Raw genomic sequence first — 23,202 nt, 5'->3', positions numbered from 1 at the left:
GCAGTATTCAGCTCACTAAGCTGTGCACTGTGGGACCTATGCCTGGAAGAAGGTGCACCTTCTAAAATTCACCCATTTTGTAATTTTCTCAAGACCAGCAGCAACCCTGAACCAAAGGACAGTGAACCCTGGAAAGGGTTCTAATCCTAAAGTTGGTATGAAAACTGGGGACAGGCCTCTAAGCTGGGGCCTTGGTCTTCTCATCCAAAGGGTGGAGATCCCTGGGGTGCCGTGGGAAGAGCGTTGTGGATCCGCTCACCTCTGCACAGGGGCTCTGTGTCATTCCAGTATGGGTCCCGCACATTGATGCATTCGATGATGGCCGGGCCCTGCTCCAGGGAGTGGCCGGGGTCGCAGGTGAACTCCACTATAGTCCCAATGTTATAGGTCGGGTCGGATGTAGTGAAGTTCCCATTCTGGATGTAGGGCTCATAGCAGTGGCCTTTCTCAAACGCTGAGGAAGGGAAAGAGAGGCAGCAGTTCAGATGATGCAGGGACTACCCCACGGTGCTATATTTCAGAAGATGGGTCCCCTGTGCTGTTTAGAAAAGCCCCAAAGAAAACAGGTACCAAATTACGTGTCCTGGTTCCAGCTGACGTGTTGAGAACCCTGGGGCCACCCAGTTGACTCCTTGGGACCTCATTTAAAAAAATCTAAAATAGGAGTAAGAATCTCTGTCTTCTCCACCCTGTGGAGTTGTTGTGTTTTAATGCCTTTCCACATCCTATATGGATCCTTCCCATGGCCCGTAACTTCAGAGCCCTGACTTTTTGCCACTGGAAACTGTAGGGCTGTCTATGATAAAAGCCAGCTTTTCTTGGCAAAGCCAGAACAGAAAGTCCCCCAGCGTACATGAAATGCCCAGCGAACCCCTTCTTCAAGAGTCAGGGTCTCAGCAGGAGAGGCTCTTGCTAAATTCTTCTTGGAGGAAGAAGTGGCTAAATTCTAAGAGGTCTACTAGGTGGAGTGGAGCAGAGCTTCAGGGCTCCCCAGCACAGGATGGACAGAAATCTTAACTCCACCCTTGTTCACTGGTGGTCTTGGGCCGGTCACCCAAGTGTCTTAAACCTCAGTTTCCTCACCAAAAATCAGATAGAATAACAGTTCTAATGTTTCAGTGTGATGAGGATCAAACATGATGCAGAAGCTGAAATCCAATCAGACAGTGCACAGAAGGCACTGAGCACGTAGTAAGTGCACAGTTAATGATAGGCATTGTTATTATTAATGAAACCAAGAGCCTGTCTTTGGAAACCAAAGGATCCACATGGCCATGGGATTTCCCACATCCTTCGCAGCCCAGATTTCTATCTCCCCATGCTTTCCCTGCTCCCAGGCTACCCCCAGCCCCACAAGAGAAAGGGAAGCTCCCAGGGACCCTCACCTTCAAATCGGATGTTGAAGGTGGAGGCCGCCCGGGCCTGGTCGGACGTGAACTCGATGCGGATGGTGTTGCCTTCGCTCAGCAGGCCCTCAAAAGGGACACTCTCGGTTTGAAGGGAGTCGTAGAGAAGAGCTGACTTGTTGGTCTGCCCGCTGTGAACCGTCATCCTGGCAGTGGGAGCAGAGAGGAGGGACACTGACAGATCTTCCTGGGTCACTGACATGGCAGAGGAAGGGATGTGCTACGACTGCCTCTGGAGCCTCATTACCGGATCCCAAACCTAACTCTGCCTCTTTTTTTTTGACAGAGTTTCACTCTTGTTGCCCAGCCTGGAGTTCAATGGTGCGATCTTGGCTCACTGCAACCTCCGCCTCCCAGGTTCAAGTGATTCTCCTGCCTCAGCCTCCCGAGTAGCTGAGATTACAGGTGTGTCCCACCATGCCCAGCACATTTTTGTACTTTTAGTAGAGATGGGGTTTCACCATGTTGGCCAGGCTGGTCTCGAACTCCTGACCTCAGGTGATCCACCCGCCTTGGCCTCCCAAAGTGCTGGGATTACAGGCGTGAGCCACCACGCCCAGTCCTGACTTTACCTCTTATGTGCTCAGACAAGCATCACCTTATCGAACCTGTTTCCTCTTCTGTACAATGGGACTAAATGCCTGTCCTGGCTTCCTTATGGATTTATTCTGAGGTTGTAGGGAGAGTAATGTATATGATGTAATAAACCAAACGACGAACTAATGAATTGATGTTGACTATTATTATTAACTGAGAAGTTGGAAATAATGGACTAATCTCATTGCCTAAATGGTGGCTTTTGTAAAGTCAGGCAGACCTGGGTGTGAGTCCTGACTCTGTCACTTCTCAGCTGTGTGACTTTGCACAAGAACACTTCACTTCTCTGAGCCTCTGTTTTCTCATCTGTAAAATGGGTACAATTGCACCTATATCAGAGTGTGGGGCATGGTGGCTCAAGTCTATAATCTCAGCAGTTTGGGAGGCCAAGGTGGGTGGATCACCTGAGGTCAGGAGTTAGATAGTAGCCTGGCCAACATGGTGAAACCCCGTCTCTACTAAAAATACAAAAATCAGACAGATATGGTGGCGCGTGCCTATAGTCCCTGCTACTCTGGAGGCTGAGGCAGGAGAATTGCTTGAACCTGGAAGCCAGAGATTGCAGTGAGCCGAGATCGAGCCACTGCACTCCAGCTTGGGTGACAGAGCAAGACTCGGTCTTAAAAAAAAAATAGTTAACAGGACACGGTAGGTAAGTTTTGTTTATTAAGCATTTGACTCCCACCAGGCTCTGTCTCTGATCCCCATTTTCTAAGAGCACTGTGTGGGAAGTCAAGAGTCATAATTCCCATTTCTCAATTCCCCATCTGGATTTACATTAAGTCTTAAAACACCTTTCAGCCTCAGTGTCCTCAACTGTGAAAGGAGAGACCCAACCATAACGTCGTTCTGACCCATCTTACAGGTGGGCTTTGAGAATATTGCAAAATAAAAAGTGCCCTGAAAAATAAAATGTGTTAAACAAAATGTTGGGTATTTATTTTTATTGTTATTAAAGCTATTTGAAGTTGACTTCTTGCTAGCCTTGGTTTTTTAAAGAAATTATGCAAAAATGGTGAAGAAAACCATATACAAATTAGATAAGCTTCTTTTATGGAGTCATAAACACACATTTTTAAGCCTTTGAGGTTTTTACTGACTCATAAAAATAGTTTATTTTATGCTGCCCAGATGAATTTCTAATGTCACTAAGATGTATAAATGTTGCAGCCACAGTTTGTTTATTTTGCCATGTGTCCAGTATGGCTGAGGCAAGGATGGGGGCTGTGGTAGAGTCCAGGGGGCATTCCAGGAGTGGGAAGGGGCATCTACATAGTCTTCTGATTCCTGATGACTCTGTTATATCTTAGGGGCTGTGTGTTGGGACACCTCTTTCAAAGAACAGAAGCCTTTGGCAAAGAGGGTTGCTCTGGAGGAAAGCTTCAAGATCTCAAAATCTCTGTAGTCTATTAATCTTTTAAAACCAACAATTTTCTAACCATATTTTCTAGAATGTCTGCAATAGTAATACATTTTCTCTCAAATTCTTAATAGTCTATGGTCAAATGGATTTGCAAAATGCTGAATTAAATAAAAATTAAACTTTTTTTTCCCTGCAGGACTTATCAGTGCCTTTGTTAGCTAGTACATATTACGACCTTTCAAGGCAAGGATAGGGTGGGCGCAGTGTCTCCCAAACATGTTTGACCAGAGAACTCACTTTTTTGGGGGCATATTATGAGACTGGAGTTTAGAAAGGGTTCATTTTGAGGAAAATCATCTTAAAATCTTTATTCATGTCCCTCCTCGACTAAAAAGACTTTTATAGGCTCTCTATTGCCTATAAAAGTAGCCTGGCATTCAAAATCCTTCAGGATATAACCCCAATCTAGCTTCCCAGATCTCTTTCCTCCTGTTCTCATGAGAGCTTCTGCTGCAGCCCCCCAACAAATTTGCTAATTCTTTCCCCTCCATCTTTGTGCTCATCCTCCAATTCTCCATGCTTGGAATACCCCTCCCTCTGTATTTTTGGATCCATTATCCAATCTCCTTCCATTTTGACTTTAGGTCAAAGTCCCATTTCTTATGTAGAGTCTTATCTAGCTCTGAGTTCTTGCAACTGACATATTGTGGTATTTTAGCCATTTCCCCCTCAATAAAGTACATGGGACAGACATAATTGATTTCTCTTTTCTTCTTGGCCCAGAGAGTAGTGTCTTCATCATTTTTGTGTGTGTGTTGACCTTTAACCTTGATGAACTCTACAAACTTCTCTTCCTACTGATACACTTGAAAGCTGGTTTTTTCCTGGTAAGTGTCAGCTCATGCAGATCTTTGCAGGACCCCAGAGAAACTACTAGTGACCAGTGCCAGTGGGGGGCCCATTTGTCAGGACTTAAACAACTTGCAGAAAATAAGAAAATACTCATTTTGATGCATTCTTTTGTCTCTGCTAATTCTTGTTGTCTAGTATAAACTTAAGCCTGGCTCATCTCAAGCACCCCTCAGAAGAGGCAGATCTGAGGTTTAAGATTTGGAAATGGTCCTTCACCAAGGGTTCCCATGCCCAGATTTTCAGAGTCTCCAGAAGAAAGGATAGGGAATCTGATTTTTAAAGAATTCCCCAGGTTATTATTCTGGTGCTGCTAAAAAGCCACGTTCGGGAGCCCCTGCTTGATACCTTACACTTTACAGCAGCAATTTATCGATATAGAGTTGTTCTGGATAAAGCTGAACTGCCTAGAGGGAAGTGGACTCAAGAGGTATGGGAAAATTATTCAGTTGTCTTTTTTTTTTTTTTAAGTCTTTCCAAACTAAAGACCTCATAGTCTAGGTTTGATCCATCAAAGAAGCCAAAACATTAGAATTCTTAGATCAAAGTTTCTTGGACTCCAAAATTCTAAGGTGGGGGCATTCTGGAAGTGCAGTAAACACTGCCAGTGCCCTACCCTCTCCTACCCCTCAGCAGTCAACTGCTCCCACATTTTCTGCTGGCTTCTGACCACAAGTCTCTGAGAATCAGTCAACTCAACCAGCTCAAAGGGTGGCAGCTGATGTTGGGGATAGTTAGTGCTCCTCATCACATCTCTCATCCAGTGATGAATGGGAGCTGGTGCATAAGTACCCTAGCTCCCTCACCCTTCCAACAGGACCACTCTGAGGTATGCTCAACACATTGCCCAGAGGTTTCCAGTGGACAGAATCCCGGTTTTCCCAGCAGTCACCCGCTTATTAACGCAGCTGGTATTCACAATCTCACTTTCCCATGTGCCTCCTAGTGCTTACTAGGATCAGCTCCCCAGTGAACTACTTCCTCTCACATCTTTATCACCATGTCTGATTCCAAGGAAACCCAACTCAAGACAGCAAGTCAAAGCAGCTAAAGTCCTAGTTTTCTAGACTATCTTAGAATAAGATCTCAGAATAATCCAGAATATTCTAGAACAAGACCCCATAATATTCTAGAATAAGACGCCAGAATATCCCAGAATAAGATACCAGAATATTTCAGAACATTCTAGAATAAGATTCCATAATTTCTAGAATAAGATCCCCAAATATTCTAGAATAATACTGCAGAATATTAAAGTTTTATAATTCTGGATTCTATGCATATTCTGGATTCTATGCATATTATTAAGAGTCTACAGACACACTCTTGCTTAGATATTGCCTGGTAACTTCTCCTTCATTCTTTCATGTGCATACGTCTAGTTTTTCCATCTCAATTTCCTATCATGTCAGAAACTAATATTTTCTACTTCTTTCATGTTCTCCATGGAGCCTAATATATGGCTGGGTACTGAGCAGATGATCAATACATACTCTCTTTTTGTTCAACTGCAAAAAGGGGTGTGCAAGAGAAAGAATAGGGCAGTTCCCTTTTTGCCTCTTCCCCTAGCCTGCTGATTGAGCTGGGGCAGGTCCATTTCCTTCTGCATACCCTGGTTTCCTTATCTGTAAAAGGAAGAGATTGAAGCTGATGGTGTCTAAGATCTTTGCCATCCACCCCAGCTCTTCTTTTCTTGAATTCCGAGGGTCAAAGCTTCAGCCATTTCAAGACTCCAAGTCCTCAAGCCATGTTCTAATATTCTGGGAAGAAACGGGGTTGGGTGTGGACCTTCAGAGCTTTACCTGTCCTTGTCATGCAGCAACAGCCTCTCAAAGTGCAGGTGCAGCTTCTGGCCCTCTGGAGCTTCAATCGTCCAGATGCAGAATTGGCTCCCATTTGTGTTTTCAGGGTAACTTGGGGAGAGGACGCGGCCGATGGTGGCATTGTGCACTGCCCCTCCACAAGGAGCTGATCCAGAAAGGGGTGGGTGGGCAATGGGAGAGAGCAGAGAGGGAGAGAGAGAGGAGAGAGACAGAGAGAAAGAGAGAGAGAGAGAGAAGGAAGTGAGTGTTTCATTCTCCCCTGATCCCCACCCCTGCCCCTTGCCCAGGATGAAACATCAGAGACCTGGAGCGGGAGGAAACCGGGCAGGGAGAGAAAGCTTGGAAGGGACTTCTCCTGGGAGGGAATCCTGTTTGACAGGAGATTTCACCCTACAATTGGAACCATCAACATGTGTATTTCATGGTAGGGAATGACTGCAATTTAACGACAGTTCTGTGGTGCTGGCTGTGCCCTGACTTTTAATTACAAAATGGCAATCAAGAAGGATATAAACAGGCAGTTCACAAAAGAAGAAATATATTTCTAGTACTCAGTAAGCACTAAAAATTCAGCCTCACTAATAACAAATGAAATGCAAATCTAAGCTGTATTCTACTTTCATCCACCTAATCGGCCAAGATAAAAAGCAGCAATAAAATCTGGAGATGGTAAGGGTGATGGGAAATGCTCACTTTCATCATGACTGGTTAGAATGCAAACTGTTATGACCTTTCGGGAGGGCAATTTAGTGAAAAGCCTAGAAAACGTGCTCAAACACTTTGATCCGCCAAATGCGGTTCTGGATAATTATAATAAGAAAAGATTTAGAGATTTGCACCAAGAGTTAGGAATGAGGATATTCATGGCTATCTTGTTTCTAGGAATGAAAAATAAAAAAAACACCAAGATGAATGTCCACTCACAGATGTTTAGTGAAATACATCATGTGCCACATAACAGTGTTTCAATTTACAACAGAGTGTATATATGGCAGTGGTCCCATAAGATTTTAATATTATATTTTTATTGTATCTTTTCTATGTTTAGATAAACAAATACCTTTGTGTTACAATGTGTTCAGCACAGTAACATGCTGTACAGGTTTGTAGCGGAGAAGCAATAGGCTGTACCATATAGCCTGGGTATGTAGTAGGCTATACCATCAAGGCTCGTGTACATACACTCTATGATGTTCACGCAATGATGACATCATCTAAAGATGCATTTCCTAGAACATATCCCCATTGTTAAGTGATGCATAACTGTAAATACACTCCACCCATTCAGAAACTAAATACCATGTTCTCAAAGAATACTTCAGCATATAGGAAGATGCTCACTATTTTTTAAGTGAAAAAAAAAGCAAGTTAGAAAATAGTGTGCCATACCTATTTTAATAAGCTATTTTCAAGAATCAATTGAGACCATGAATATAAAAGTGATTTGTTCCTATTTCTTACACTTCACTATTTCTTGAAAAATTTCTTACCAGAATCATCTATTACTTTTATCATAAAAATCTAATGAAAAATATTAAAAAGTGATTTGTGCACTGGAAAGAACACTTTCCAGTTCTCAAGCGAGAAGGTATTCTTATTTTTACTCTAATTCTTAGGAGATATTTGGTTCTTAGGAAATTGTTTTCTCACGTACTATATGAGAGAACAGTTTTGAATTTTCTTTCCTTTCTTTTTCTTTCTTTCTTTCTTTCTTTCTTTCTTTCTTTCTTTCTTTCTTTCTTTCTTTCTTTCTTCTTTCTTTTTTTTTTTTTGAGACAAACTCTTGCTCTGTCACCCAGGCTAGAGTGCAATGGCACGATCTCAGCTCACTGCAACCTCTGCCTCCCAGGTTCAAGTGATTCTCCTGCCTCAGCCTCCTGAGTAGCTGGGATTACAGGTGCCCACCACCGCGCCCAGCTAATTTTTGTATTTTTAGTAGAGATGGGGTTTCACCATCTTGGCCAGGCTGGTCTCGAACTCCTGACCTCGTGATCCACCTGCCTTGGCCTCCCAAAATGTAAGGATTAGAGGCATCAGCCACAGCACTCAGCCAGTTTTGAATTTTCTGAGGAGAGATGGTGGGTAGCAGATGCTTCTCACAGAGCGTGGCAGTCAGTCCAGGAGGAAGGGATGTGAAGAATAGCCCAGGGCCACGATTGAGTAAAGCCCTACACCATGACCAGGGTTTCAAGTCTTGGGAGCCATTTCTATCTTTTATGAGGATCAAAGGAGCTTGAAAAATATTTCCTTCCCAAGCACAGGACGCTTGGTTCCCCCTTCATTTTCAGAGATATAGGAGAGGAAGCAAAAGTGGGACAGGTTATTTGGAACCATCTCACAGATGGCTAAGGGGTTTGTAGGTTCCACAAAAGCTAGGACTACTTTTTGTTTGTTTGCTTTCAGTCACACTACCAGCAACCAGAAGAGCTCCTGGTATGTAGAATGTGCTCAGTAAATATTTACTGAATAACCACGATTAATTTTGCAAAAGAGGAAAAAAGAAGTTCAAAGGTATTACGCCACTTCCTCAAGGACATACACATAATAAGTGGAGCAGTTGAGACTCAAGCTCAGGCTGCCTCACTCCAGTATCTCTTATCGAAGTCACTACTCCACTGTCTGTCTTATTTATGATAACCTGCTAATCCAGAAAGGTATATGGCATATAGTAGTTGCTTTATAAAATGTTTGTTGAATGAAAGAATAAATATTTTTTCCTTTTTGTATCTCTAATATCAGCTCAAAGCTTGATACATAGCAGGTACCCATTAAATGTTTGTTGAATGACAGTATGACTGAATGGGGCTTGCAGTAGCAGAGAACGGTGGATAACTCTTATCTCTGCTCCAGACTGTGTTGTGACCTACAGCAAAGACATTGCCAAGAAGCTCCATACTTCTTTCAGGACCACAGACAGAAAGCTAGGTTCATTTCTCTCTCCAGGCTGCCCTTCTGTCCTAGAGGAGAGATTGTTCTGTGAAATAAGCCAGCCCTAGGTTGAAACCTTGCCAGTCATCTGCTGTGGATCTAAGACAAGTCACATGTTTACCCACTGTAAAATGGTGATAAGTCCACCCTCCTTATAGGACAGTAGTGAGAAATCAATGAAACGATGGGCATGGGGAGCTTCATGCCATCCCTGGCACAGAGTGGGCACTCAAAACATAGCCAGCTCTATTGCCCTGTGGCTCAGGAGCTGAGAAATGGAGGACACTGTCCCTGGTGGGGGGCTCTGGCCATCTGTCCTCCCAAGCTGCTGATCGTTTGCGGCTTCTCTGCTTCCCTTCTTTGCCTGATTAAGCCAACTGATGGCTCTGTTTGGCTTCAATTTGCCAGCCGTGGCTCCCCATCCATCTTTCTTAGCACAAATGGAAGCTTAATTCCTCCCTGATTTCACACATAGATAAAAATTAATGTGAGAGAGGCGTGAAGACCAACTGCCCTATGGTTTGGAATTTTATCTTTGTTTAAAAAAAAGAAAGAAAAATTCTGAAGGGCCTTGGGGGAACAATACTGTAACAATTGAATCTCAGAATTTATCATTAGCTCTCATTTCCTTTTTGAGCTCCACTTGGCTATGAATAACTGGAGGGCAGGAATTATGTCTCATTAGTTCCAATATTCTCTTCACACATGGCTCATAGCCTGGCACATAGTAGGTGGCAGGGCAACCTATACTCTCTCAACCACCATCAGGACTTTTGAGAATTCTAAAAGGGTTTTGCTCTCTTGATAGCTGAAGATGGCCAAGGCTGTGCCCACTGGTGCAGGGACAGTGCGTTACAAACCAGTGCTTCTCCAGGTGTAATGTGCATATGAGTCACCCAAGGGCCATGTTAAAGTGAAAATTTTGATTCATTTGGTTTTGCATGGGGCTCAGGATTATGCATTTCTAATAATTTTGCTAGTCCGAGGACCACACTTTGAGTAAGGAAGCTGTAAGGGGAGGAGCTCAGGAGAGAAGGGATCTGGACTAAGTTCGCCACTTCAAGTATGTTACTTCATCTCTCTAAGCCTCATTCTCTTTGCCTATGAAAGTGGTAATCTTATCTCCCTGAGTTCAAGTGAAATAGTAGATATTGTCCACCTTGATTTCCATGGATCCACTCTGACCATCCTCAATCATTTTTGCCAAATAGAAGTCAGAATGATCACCCTTATGCTTAAATTTTTCCAGATATCTCCTACCTAGTCCACCTGTCTTCTCATGACCTTGAGCAATACAGTTTCTGACCACTGCCCCAGCCTCCTGTCCTGATATTTTCTCTGCAGTTTAGTCAGATTGATCTTATTTATTTATTTGCTTTCTCAAACTCATCGAGTTCCTTCTGACCTCTGAACCTTAGCATGTGCTAGTGCATCTGCCTGGAATGTTTCCCCCTTCTCCCCCCCATTTTCCACCCTCAGTCTATTTCCTACTCAACTTCCAAATCTTGGAGTGTTATCAGGTAATCCTTCCCTGACCCTTCGCTCATCACTGTCCTCCTCCCAGGTGAGGTCCTCTATCACAGCTTCTTCCTGTATACCTTTTCTGCATTGCAACGCCTCTCACAATAACTGATGTCCTCTCCATCCTCACTCTGCATCATTCCACCATGTGAATTTCTTTCCTGGTCCTTAACACAATCTGTTACCAGCATGTTTGCATCCTTGTTTACTCATTTACATACTACAGCCTCACCTTGACTGGAAACTCTGTGAGAGCAGGAACTGGGTCAGGGTCCCTGCAATAGCTCTAGCAACAGGTGCAATGCCTACCACACAGTGGGCGCTCGGCGGATGTTTGTCGAATGAGTACCTAGATAGGAAAGGCTCTGAATGACAAACAACGCCCAACAGGTGCTTAAAATTCCTTCTGTCCTCGAAGTCTCAGATTCTGTCTGCTGGCTCAGAAAGCCCACTTCTTTTTACTAGAGGGCACCAGACTGTGTCAGCAGGCTACCTCCAACAATTTCTACATGGAGGCTTTGAGTAAGTGACTTCACCTACATGAGCCTCATCTGCAAAATGGGGATAATGGCTCCCATCCTATGGCATTGCTGTGAGGATTAAATGCAGCCTCTGGCACGGTGTGCAACACATATTGGCTTGGCTTGAAAAATGGCAGTAGTTACACTCAGAGCACAAGAAAGAAAAGAAAAAAATATTTAATTTTGCCAAATGTAAAAGCTTTGTGCATCAAATAACACTGTCAGTAAGTGAAAAGACAACCCATGAAATGGGAGAAAATATTTGCAAACCACTTATCTGATAAGGGTCTAGTGATCAGAATATATAATGATTGCTTACAACTCAATAACAAAAAGACAAACAACCTGATTAAAAAATGGAAATAAGAACACTTTTACACTGTTGGTGGGACTGTAAACTAGTTCAACCATTGTGGAAGTCAGTGTGGCGATTCCTCAGGGATCTAGAACTAGAAATACCATTTGACCCAGCAATCCCATTACTGGGTATATACCCAAAGGATTATAAATCATGCTGCTATAAAGACACATGCACACGTATGTTTACTGCAGCACTATTCACAATAGCAAAGACTTGGAACCAAGCCAAATGTCCAACAATGATAGACTGGTTTAAGAAAATGTGGCACATATACACCATGGAATACTATGCAGCCATAAAAAATGATGAGTTCATGTCCTTTGTAGGGATATGGATGAAGCTGGAAACCATCATTCTCAGCAAACTGTCGCAAGGACAAAAAACCAAACACCGCATGTTCTCACTCATAGGTGGGAATTGAACAATGAGAACACATGGACACAGGAAGGGGAACATCACACACCGGGGCCTGTTGTGGGGTGGGGAGAGGGGGGAGGGATAGCATCAGGAGATATACCTAATGTTAAATGATGAGTTAATGGGTGCAGCACACCAACATGGCACATGTATACATATGTAACAAACCTGCACGTTGTGCACATGTACCCTAAAACTTAAAGTATAATTAAAAAAAAATGGGCAAAGGACCTGACTAGACATCTCCCCAAAGAAGATCTACAAATGGCCAACACATACATGAAAAGATGCTTGACATCATTAATCATCAGGGAAATGGAAACTAAAACCATGAGATACCTTCATACCCATAAGGATGGCTACAATAAAAACAACAACATGGAAAAGAACATATGTGGGCAAGGATGTGGAGACACTGGTACTGTCACATTGCTGAGGGGAAAGTAAAATGGTGCAGCTGCTGTGGAAAATCGTTTGATGGTTCCTCAAAAAGTTATACATACAATGACCCTATGACCCAGCAATTCCACTCTTGAGTATATATCTAAGAGAAATGAAAGCCATATCCACACAAAAAACTGGCATACAAATGTTCACAGCAGCATTGTTCATAATAGCTGAAAAGTAGAAACAACTCAAATGTCTACTAACGAATAAACAGGTCAACAAAATGTGGGACATCCATACAATGGAATATTATTCAGCTGTAAAAAGAAATGAAGTACTGATACATGCTACAACATACACGAACTTTGAAAACACAGTGCCAAGCGCTAAGTGAAAGAAGTCAGACATGAAAGTCACATATTATATGATTCCATTTACATAAAATATCCACAATAGATAAATCCACAGAGACAGAATGCAGCCGGATGGTTGCCAGCGAGTGTGGGGAGGAGGGAGGGATGGGGAGTGACTGCTTTCTGTACAGTGTTTCCATTTGGGGTGTTAAAGATGTTTTGGAGCTAGGTAGTGGTGATGGTTGCACAATAGCGTGAACATACTAAAATGTCTCCAATGGTAAATTTCATATTATGTGTATTTTACTCCAATAAAAACATAAATAACAATAGTCATCCATATTTGGAGCAGTTTCTTCCCCTGGGCTGAAAGCCATTCCCTGAGGTCACTCTCGGTGTCCTACAGGTTGGTCTTTCCCCTCTTAGTTGGACCATCAGGTTTGGTCCGGCTGAGGCTGGAGCATACCTGAGCAGATGGGCTCCTGGCTGCTCCAGTGCGGCTTGGAGGCATTGATGCATGTCAGCATCTTAGCGCCCTGGAGCTCATAGCCCAGGTGGCAGTGAAAGTGGGCCACCCCACCTGAGTGCAGGTCCATCACCGTGACATCCCCAGAGTCAGGCCGGCGGGGAAAGTTGCAGCTCAGCATGAAGGCTGGGAAGAAATGCAGAGGCAGACTCAGTCATCACTTGGAGTGGCAGATCAAGAACCTGACCCACATCCTGGGAGCCAGTTTGTGCTGGGGAGAGAAGATGAGGCCCCTGGGGACTCCAGAGCTCTGGAGAATGGTATTTTTGTGACTCTCTTTGATCATATCAGGCTGAAACTGCCAGGTTAGCACTTTCTTGGGACTTAAAAATCGCCACCCTGCCTAAACAGAGACAGCAGGTTTGGGATGAAAAATGAGTTTCCATACCTCCTTTGAGCCTATCTCTATCTATGTAGAGACAGATTGGCCTTCTCTCTGGGACTGGGAGGGGCAAGACCACCCAGGAAGTTTAGTCCCACCTGCGTGCACATCTTGAGTGCTTGTTAAAAATGCAGATGCTTGAACCAGGTCTTTGGGAATTGCCCAAGGATATGAAAGCTCGAGAACTACTGGCCTGCGAGACAGGAGCTTGGGCTTTAGAAAGAAAACTAATGTGAGTTTACAAAACGATGTCACCTTGAGACAAGGACTCAGTGCCTCCACCTTACAGGTGGTGGTGGGGATTAAATGAGATAATACAGAGAAAGAGCCTCCTTCGCAGTCAGTAGATGGGGGTAGTAAAAGGGTGCATGGGGACATACTGAATTCCTCAGTTTTCATAAGAGGATGTCAAATTCATCCTAGCTTCTTCACCCTAGACCATGGTCTGACCTCTCCTGCAGCACAGAATATCTTTATTCTCAGTACTGATGAGGAGGAATACATTCAAGTTCATGATTCACATTCTTTTTTGTTGTTGCTTTTAAATTCACAACAACAGCAAAGGGCAGTATCCCACAATGAAAAGTTGTGATGAAGTGGACACTCCCCTTTGCAGTCATCCACCTGTTTCAGAAACAGGTGAGAGAAAAGTTGAAAATGAGTTGTTGTTGTTTTCAAATGTCTGGACAATTTGATATAACACATGATGGCTCTCAATATCTGGTTGCATGGTTCACGAATCCACTTTCCATTCAGATGTTTCAGCAGTTGGTAAGTATCCAAGGGAAAGTTCCTGGGTGAGGCAAAGGAGACCTGAGGTCATGGGAGCTGCATAGGAGGAAATCGGGGTGGAGGAGAGGGGAAGAAAAGGGGGACTAGGAAAGGAGAGAGAGAGAGAAGGGAGGGAAAATAGAGGGTGGAAAGGAAGAGAAAGAGAGGAGGAAATGAAGAAATAAAACAAGCAAGCAAAGAGGGAGGAGAAGAGAAGGAAGGAGAAAGGAAGTAAGAGAAGAGAGGAATGAACAGAGAGCAAAACAGAGAAGACAGGAACAGACAAAAAGGAAAACCAGTAGAGGAAGAAGAAAAGAGAGAAGTACCCTGTTAAGGCTCTTTATCAGGAGTCTGTGGACGCACAGTGGATCTATATATTGAATTCAGGGCCTGTGAACTTGAATGAAGGAAAGCTGCTTGCTTATTTTCATTAACCTCTACCTTAGCTGTGCTATTTTCCTGGCAACAAACTGAAACATTGTAGTAGAACCTGTGACTTTGACACCAAGAGAAACCACAGATATTTTTCATATCATAATGGATATCTCAACCTATTTCTTATGCTCCTTAGTACTTTGAAATGTCAGCAATTATAAGAACTACTAGAAGACATTGTTTAATGAATTAATAAAAAGCACATAGATTAAGGCATCATAGATTATAACAGTATTTTGATAACTGCAGCTCAGTAATACCGTTTTCTTTAAAATTGTATATATTTTATTTTATACTTTTAAAAACATTATTCTGAGAAGGGGTTTGTAGGTTTTACCAAACTGTCAGAGAGGTCCCTGGCACAAAAAGTTTTAAAATCCTTTTCTCCAGAGGGAAACTGAGGCAAACGCCTATGTTTCATCAGCCTTGGCCTGACCCTACCCTGGTAGTGAAGCTGGAAGGTCCCAAGGCCGTCGTCCTGGAAGGTCCGGAAGTAGACGGAGATGGTGTTGGTGGGGCTTCGGATTACCTGCCCCTCCACCAGGAGTGTCTGGTTGGCCAGGACGGTCAGGGTAGGGCCGTCCACCCCGCGGATGGAGAGCAGTTCCCCATCGGACAGGTTCACACTCTTCACCTGGGAACAGGCAGAAGCAGACAGAGAGGAACTCTGAGTTGTGTTTGAGACAGAGCCTTCTAAGGTTGCAAAGAAGTCAGTGAAAAGTGGCCCAGGTACTGCTAGCCCCTGGTCAACGGGACCCCTGGGCCCCATGCCGAGCCCACAGGAGCCCTGGGAATATCAAGGTCCCCCTAATTTCCCCAAAAGCCAAGGGGATAGAGTGAAACCAAACTGCAAGGCAGAGGCATTGCAAGGGACTTGCAATGTGAGGCCCCCATTGCTGTGTCCTGTAAGAGGGGCCTTTGGCACAGGCCCTGGATGCTAGTGGGTGGGATAGATTATCCTGGAGCTGGTGAGTGGAGGCAGCAGTTGGATCAGCTTGTGCTTGAGATCCAATCTCCAGGGAGCCGGGAGAAGCATTCTACCAGAATGTATACTCTGCAAGGTTAGGGATTTCTCCATGCTGTTCAATGTTTCCAGTGCCTAGAATAGTACCTGGCACATATTAAGTGCTCAGAAAATATTTAAAAAAGATTGAATATATTCTTCCATTTTCTGCATAAATTGGTAAGTGAGGGGTGGGGGCCTCATTTCTAGGGCACTCTCTGGCCCATTCTCTTATTCTCCCCAGTGGTGGCTACAACTGCAGGACAATCAACCCCTATCTCAAAGAATCAGACACTTGCTTTGCCATTTACACTCTGTGGGATTTGAGAAGAAAGAAGCGAGATACTTTAGTTGTACGCAGGGAGGCTGAACAAATGGTATGTGCGCGTGTGTGTGTAAGGGAGAATTTAGTCAGGTCTCAATGCCTAATTTGAAGACTTACGCTTTTATGAGTAGGGCTTGGAACTTTAGTTTCTCTGCCTCTCCTCTAAACAGGGCAGGCCTTACCCACAAGCTCTTCTTCCTTCAGGCCCTATATCTTATCCTCTTTTCTCTTTGATGAACTCCTACTCATTCACCAAAGCCCCATTAAAATTGCCCTCCTCTATGAGACCTTCCCTGATTGCCAAGGAGTTTGCCTGTTCCTTTGCTGCGATTCTACAACAACCTCTAAAACACCAATTAGAGTCCCTACTAAATGGCATCCTACGTATTTCTCTTTTAGGGCAGGCATTGCATCAGTTTTTTACATCAACATATTCTCCTGTGTCAACAGCTTTGCCTGGTGCATTCTAATTGCTCAATGAATGAACTCTACTGTGCCTGGTAAAAGGCTCCACACAGTACTGGACACATACTGGGTCCAATACTCTTCATGACATGGAGGAAAGGGTTCTTAAGCACTATAATAATCTGGACTGCAGGTTTTCTCCAGTTTATTTTAATTCCATGAACAATTATTAAGGACCTACAATGTGCCACACACTTGTGCAAAGCTCTGGGGACTGCAAAGACTACAGGTTCTACTGCTGAGGGGCTTACCTTTTGTCTCTCTTATACAAGTAAAACAAAAACAAAAACAAAAAACCTTCCTAAGGTAAGGTCATACACCTGCCCCAGCTCAGAAACTTTTGATGGCTCTTTATTTCCCATGAGAAAAAGGAACACATTCAGGGTGATTAGCATACTGAAGATAATGGATAACATGCACTGCATGGTCGCGATTTCTGCTGGGCTCTGACCAAATGATTTCTCTCTCTCTCCTCCCTCTCTCTCTGCTGGGCTGTGGCCAAATGATCTCTGCATTGTCATATTTACTGCTCCCCCAAACTTTACAAAGCAGTAACATTATTCCTATTTTATTGATCGGGAAACTGAGGCTCAGAGAGGTGAAGTTCCTTGTTCAAAGTCACGCAGTTTTAACTGGAAGAGGTAGGACTTAAAACCCAGATGTTTGAGCATTATGCCACCCTGCTTTTCCTTTCTTACTGTATGGGCAAAAGTTTAAGAATAAAATGTCCTAATAACCAGAAAATGAAGGAAAGCAAGCAAGCAAGCAAGAAAGAAAGAAAGAAAGAAAGAAAGAGAAAGAGAAAGAAGCAAGAAAGCAGGAAGCAAGCAAGCAAGCAAGAAAGAAAGAAAGAAAGAGAAAGAGAAAGAAGCAAGAAAGCAGGAAGCAAGCAAGCAAGCAAGAAAGAAAGAGAAAGAGAAATAAGGAAGCAAGCAAGCAAGAAAGAATCAAATGAATCAGGTGGAGCTTCCGTGTGTGTGTGTGTGTGTGTGTGTGTGTGTGTGTGTTTATGCACGTGCATGCGTGTGTGTATGTGTGTGTGAGATAAGCAGAGTATCAAGGGATTTTCCTTCTGGGAAATACCTCAGAATTTGTCAGCATGTTCCCTCTATCCCCACAAGCTATTTTAGCAAAGCATTGAGTTAAGAACTCCTACTCATTCGCCAAAACCCAGCTAAAGTTGGCCTGGTTGGGCAAAGACAGAACCAAACTAGTTAGCATAACAGTAAGCCTGACTCAGACAATCCTCCTGAGACTTCCTGCTAGACGAGGCAGCCTCTGTGAGGTACTCTCCTGGGGTTACCTGGAGCTCCACCCCATAGCCAGTGTAGACTGTCACGTTGTATGTGCACTCCAGAAAGTTGTTGAGGGGCAGCAGTGGGTAGTCGCTGGAGTCAATGTACCCCTCAGGATTGGAGAAGCTCACACTGCAGAGAGCTGGAAGGAAGGACTTTAATTAGGACACCAAAGACAACTTGGATGTAAGCTCAACCATGGGCTGTGGGGTGGAATGGGGGCTTTAGGGGAACCTGCATTTTGCTGTTCCCATCTGTCCTTCTGCTGTTAATTCCTCAGCTCCAGAATTGACATGATAATAAAAATAGCAATAATTGACACAGAATGATCACTTACTATATCCTGCTAGGCACCATTTTAGCTAGTCAACAGGGGTGACCCCACTTATTCTCATAGGGACTGATAATATTTCATCCCCAGTTTAGAGGGAAGTAAACAAAAGCTCAGAGAGGGGCCGAGCTCAAACAGCAAGCAGGATTTGGACCCAGAGCTCACGTGCTTTGAAGGGTGGCCACATTGCACTTGTCCAAAATCCATGTATGCTTGACAATTGGGGGTCCTTCTCCCATTTTAAAGATGGTAGAGAAGACTGGAACACAGAAGAGCATTTTATCAAGTCTAGAAAATACATGTAATGCTAAAAGCAAATGTGCTTTGAAAAGGCTAGTGGCTTTGAAGCAGGTTAAATGAAGAATTCCGTTCCAAGATGAAAAGGTTTTGAATCTTGCTCATTAGCTGTGTGACCTTTGGCAGGTTGCTTGGGGGTCTCAGGGTTTCAGTTGTCTCATCTTTAAAATGGGGATGTTGGCTGAGTGTCCTGGCTCATGCCTGTAATCCCAGTGCTTTGGGAGGCTGAGGTGGGAGGATTGCTTGAGCCCAGGAGTTCCCCAGCCTGGACAATAAGCAAGACCCCCTTTCTACAAAAAACAAAAAAATTAGCTGGACATCATAGTGCATGCTTGTAGTCCCAGCTACTCAAGAGGCTGAGGCAAGAGGATCACTTGAGCACAGGAGTTTGAGGCTGCAGTGAGCTATGATCGTGCCATGGCACTCCAGCCTGGGCGAAAGATCAAGACCCCTTTGCTAAAACAACCCCCCAAAACAACAAACAAATGAAATGAGGCTATTAATTCTGAGCCACAGGGCGAAGCTCATAGTCAGTGCTCAATGGACGGTAACTGATGGTGGGGCCGGGGCTTCTTGAGATTCCTCTACCCACATGCCCTGAACATAGTGAGTGCCTCATGGCTGTTTCAGGATGGCTTCAGGAGTTGGGGGCTGCATACCTGGTGCCTGCTCGGTGGTGATGACCGTGGTGGTGATAATGGTGGAGGTAGTGGTCTCCTGGCTCTCCTCTGAGGCTGACCCAGTCAGCTCATTCTCACCTTTGTCCATCAGGGCCATGGGGCTGGTGTCCTCCTGGGGGGCCTCCTGGGCCATGTCAGGCCCAGGCTCCCCGGGTTCTGGCCTCTGGGGGAGTGTGTGGGCCACATAGGGCTGCGAAGTGAAGGGGGAGATTTGCAGGGGTGCGGGTGTTGTAGGGACCGCACTCTCCTTTCGGTCCAGCCAAAGGGGCACTTCTGATGCCTCCTCGGAGGCCACGATGGGGTCCGGGTCCCCCGGTGGGCCAGGCTTCTCCGTGGAGGAGGAGAGGAGATCTAGGCCCTGGGACGCTGGCTGGGACCCTGCCCTTTGGACAGTGGCTGCGGAGGTGGCCTTGGGCCTCAGCTGCTTCCTGGCAGAGTTCACCTGCTTGAGCGAAGGCAGTTTCTTCTTGGGGGGCAAGGCGTGCTTGGGGCGGGCCTCCTCTGGAAGCAGCGGTGACAGGGCTGGGATGTCGTGATGTGCAGAGGGTGCGGTCCCATCCAGCACCAGCTCGCCCAGCACTTCCGCCGACTGTGAGGAACTGGGGGGCGCTGTTACCACTCTCTCTTCAGGGTGCTCTTTGCCAGGACTGCCTCTCTCCGGGGCTCCTGAGGGCAGGAGGTAAGGACCCAAAGGGCTAGCATCTCCCTCGGGAAGAGCATCTTGGAAGAGGAGAAAAGACACCAGTTAGTTTGGGGAGATTTAGGACCTTCACCTGCTGTCAGACTCTGAGGGTGGCCCTCCTAAGGGCGGTGCCCAAAGCTCGTCCGGCTGGCCTCTAAACCAACTTCTCCTTTCTCCCTCCCTCCCTTCCTTTCTTTTTTCTCCTCCTTCCCTCTCTCCCTCTTTCTCTTTTCTTCCTTCTTTTCCTCCCACCCTCCCTCCTTCCTTCTTTCCTTCCTCCTTCCTTCCTTCCTTCCTTTCTTTCTTTCTTTCCTCCCTCCCTCCTTCCTTTCCCCTTCCATTTTTTTCTTTCTTCCTTCCTCCTTCATTTTCTTCCTTCATTTCCTTCCTTCTTTCCTTCCATCCATCCTTCCTTCCTTCCTTCCTTCCTTCCTTCCTTCCTTCCTTCCTTCCTTCCTTCCTTCCTTTTCCTGAAGACTTGGGCTTGATCATGCCAGGACTGAGCTAAGCATTAGGAGTATAGAAACAAAAAGCACAGGGGCCTCACTGCCTGGTTGTATATGTACTGGGAAGGGGGATGGGAAAGTAGACACAATCATATTTGATATGATGAATGCTTGGAAAGAGAAAAGCTTGTGTGCTAAGAGAGCAGAGAGGACGGGCCCTAACCCCGTCTGCAGGACAGGCATGCCATGTACAGTTGGGCAGATTGTTCCCTGTACAAAGACATGCAGCTAAGAGGATGAGTGGGGATGGACACCAGGCCACACTCTCTTTTCTAAGCTGTGTGCTCTGGCTGGGCTTGGGGGATGGGGGAGGAGAGTTTTTTTAAATTTAAATTTTAATTTTAAGTTCTGGGGCCTATGTGCAGGATGTGCAGGTTTGTTATGTAGGTAAACATGTGCCATGGTGGTTTGCTGCACCTATCAACCCACGCTAGGTATTAAGCCCAGCATGCATTACCTATTTTTCCTAATGCTCTCCCCTCCCCCAACTCCACCCCGCAACAGGCCCCAGTGTGTGTTACTCCCCTCCCTGTGTCCATGTGTTCTCATTGTTCAACTCCCACTTATAAGTGAGAACATGTGGTGTTTGGTTTTCTGTTCCTGCCTTAGTTTGCTAGGGATAATGTCTTCCAGCTCCATCTATGTCCCTGCAAAGGACATGATTTTGTTTGTCTTTATGGCTGCATAGTATTCCATGGTGTACATGTACCACATTTTCTTTATCCAGTCTATCATTGATGGGCATTAGGTTGATTCCACGTCTTTGCTATTGTGAATAGTGCAGCAATGAACATGTGCATGCATGTATCTTTGTAACAGAATGATTTATATTCCTTTGGGTATATATGTAATGGGACCCAGTAATGGGATTGCTGAGTCAAATGCTATTTCTGGTTCCAGATCTTTGAGGAATCTCAGCACCATCTTCCACAATGGTTGAATTAATTTACATTCCCACCAACAGTGTAAAAGCAGGGTTGGGGGAGGTACATTTTAAACTGAAGGAATGTAAGAGTGACCTTGTGGGAGACACAGAAATGTTTTAGGATTCAGAGTCACGAGGCAGATTCAGAACAGAGGACTGTGTGAAGACCCATGGAGGCTTGGAGGCTGGGCAGAGGTGGGCACAAAAGAATTGCAAGGGGTTTTGGAGCACAAGTGGAGAGTACGGGGGATAAAGCTGGTAAGGTAGGGAGGCAGGGGCCAGGCCCTGGAGGGCCTTGTATACCTTGCTAACTTCTTGTAATTCATTTTGTTTTTTCTTGAGACGGATCTCACTATGGCTGGTTGCAAACTCCTGGGATCAAGTGATCCTCCCACCTTGGTCCCCATCCTTGCGATTTATTTTTGTCTGGAAGGTAAAACCATTTAGTCATTTTATTTTATTTTATTTTATTTATTTTTTTGAGACGGAGTCTCACTCTGTCGCCCAGGCTGGAGTGCAGTGGCGCGATCTCGGCTCACTGCAAGCTCCGCCTCCCGGGTTCACGCCATTCTCCTGCCTCAGCCTCCTGAGCAGCTGGGACCACAGGTGCGTGCCACCATGCCCAGCTAATTTTTTGTATTTTTTAGTAGAGACAGGGTTTCACCATGTTAGCCAGGATGGTCTCGATCTCCTGACCTCGTGATCCACCCGCCTCGGCCTCCCAAAGTGCTGGGATTACAGGCGTGAGCCACCGCGCCCGGCCCAATAGTCATTTTAAAGAAGGGCTGGCCCAGGCAGCTGTCTGGCAGAATGGTGCTGGAAACCAGCTTTGTTTGCTTTTTAAAGACCCAGTTCTGCCAATTGCTGGTTAATGACTTCACTCTCCAAGCCTCAGTTCCCTCAGCTGTCAAATGGGGCTATTATTTCCTATTTCCTGGGGTTGCCATCATTCAGCGAGTTGATGTATGCAAAGCACTTAGGACAGCGCCTCACCCGTAGTGAGTGCTTAGCAAATGCCAGCTGCCGTCATGGTTTTTACTCTTGTCATTGCAATCACAGCCCCTCGGCAGGAAACTGGAGCAATCAGAACATCCCCGTGAAGATGTCTAGATAGAGAGGAATTACATCACGGGGACAAAGGCCCTCGGACTGATAGCTGTCCTTGTCGATTTTCTGCAGGGAGACACTCACTCAGCTACAGTCTCCAGGCCCTCCAGTGCTGTCATTTAAATTTATTTCAGCAGTCGTTGGAGAGGCTCATTTACTTTCATGGAGTTGGCGGCGGTGGCTTAATCTATATAGACTGCAACAGTTTGCAACTGGCATCAACAAATGTTCCTGTTGTGTAACATTGATTACCAGCCAGTGTTCCTTCCAGGCCGCCAGTGATGCTGGGCCAGGAATGGGTATCTGGGAGCAGCGTGAGTGGATGGCATGAGGGCAGGTCAAGGTCATTCAGGCATCAGGCAGATTTCCTAGTCCAAGGTGGGGAGTAGTGAAGCTTCAGAGTTAGGGTTCAAATCCTGCCTGTTACAGTTATGAGCTGAGTGAGTCTGGGCAAGTCCTTGAACCTTGCTGAGGTTCAGCAGCCTCTTTTGTATAATGGAGGTATTCTATCTACCTTGTTGGATTAGACCAGACGTGGATCTGCCTCAAAACAATGGCTTTTATGCTCACTGTCGCTTTTCTAAAATGATTGATGTTGACCATCTTTGTAGACTGTGGAGTGAAAAGAGGGCATAGGGACAAAAAGAGCAGGGGGGAGGGGTCAGGACACCCAGCTTCCAAGACCCAGCTGTGGTACAACACAAAGTACTTGGATACAACCAGGAGCTGAGGGATCTGGGTGGTGTCCCATCTTGGCCACTATTCACTAGCATGACTTTGCATGGGTCTCCTCTTCTCTGCATCTTCTCTATGTGTCAAATGGGCAGCCAGACTGCATATGAAAGAAGGGCCTTTCTAGCTCAGACATTGTTGGGTTTTTGAAATG

General features: G+C 45.2%; 1 protein-coding gene across 6 annotated transcripts in view; it reads right to left on the bottom strand.

Annotated features, from left to right (window-relative positions):
* The window catches only part of SEZ6L (seizure related 6 homolog like), a 214,135-nt gene that overhangs the window by 71,375 nt on the left and 119,558 nt on the right, over positions 1-23,202 (bottom strand). For all 6 annotated transcript variants that reach the window (NM_021115.5, NM_001184773.2, NM_001184774.2 and 3 more), the window contains exons 2-8: positions 19,076-19,816; positions 17,797-17,930; positions 15,142-15,334; positions 13,053-13,238; positions 6,078-6,243; positions 1,386-1,552; positions 260-454 (exon numbers count right to left, since the gene is read on the bottom strand). In NM_021115.5, the coding sequence (NP_066938.2) occupies positions 260-454; positions 1,386-1,552; positions 6,078-6,243; positions 13,053-13,238; positions 15,142-15,334; positions 17,797-17,930; positions 19,076-19,816 (1,782 nt within the window). The remainder of the gene's footprint in view (positions 1-259; positions 455-1,385; positions 1,553-6,077; positions 6,244-13,052; positions 13,239-15,141; positions 15,335-17,796; positions 17,931-19,075; positions 19,817-23,202) is intronic.

The sequence above is a fragment of the Homo sapiens genome, chromosome 22 (genome assembly GCF_000001405.40).
Source record: "Homo sapiens chromosome 22, GRCh38.p14 Primary Assembly".
Classification (NCBI taxonomy): domain Eukaryota; kingdom Metazoa; phylum Chordata; class Mammalia; order Primates; family Hominidae; genus Homo; species Homo sapiens.
Note: the sequence above shows the minus strand (reverse complement) of the source record. Positions and strands in the feature narration are given on the sequence as shown.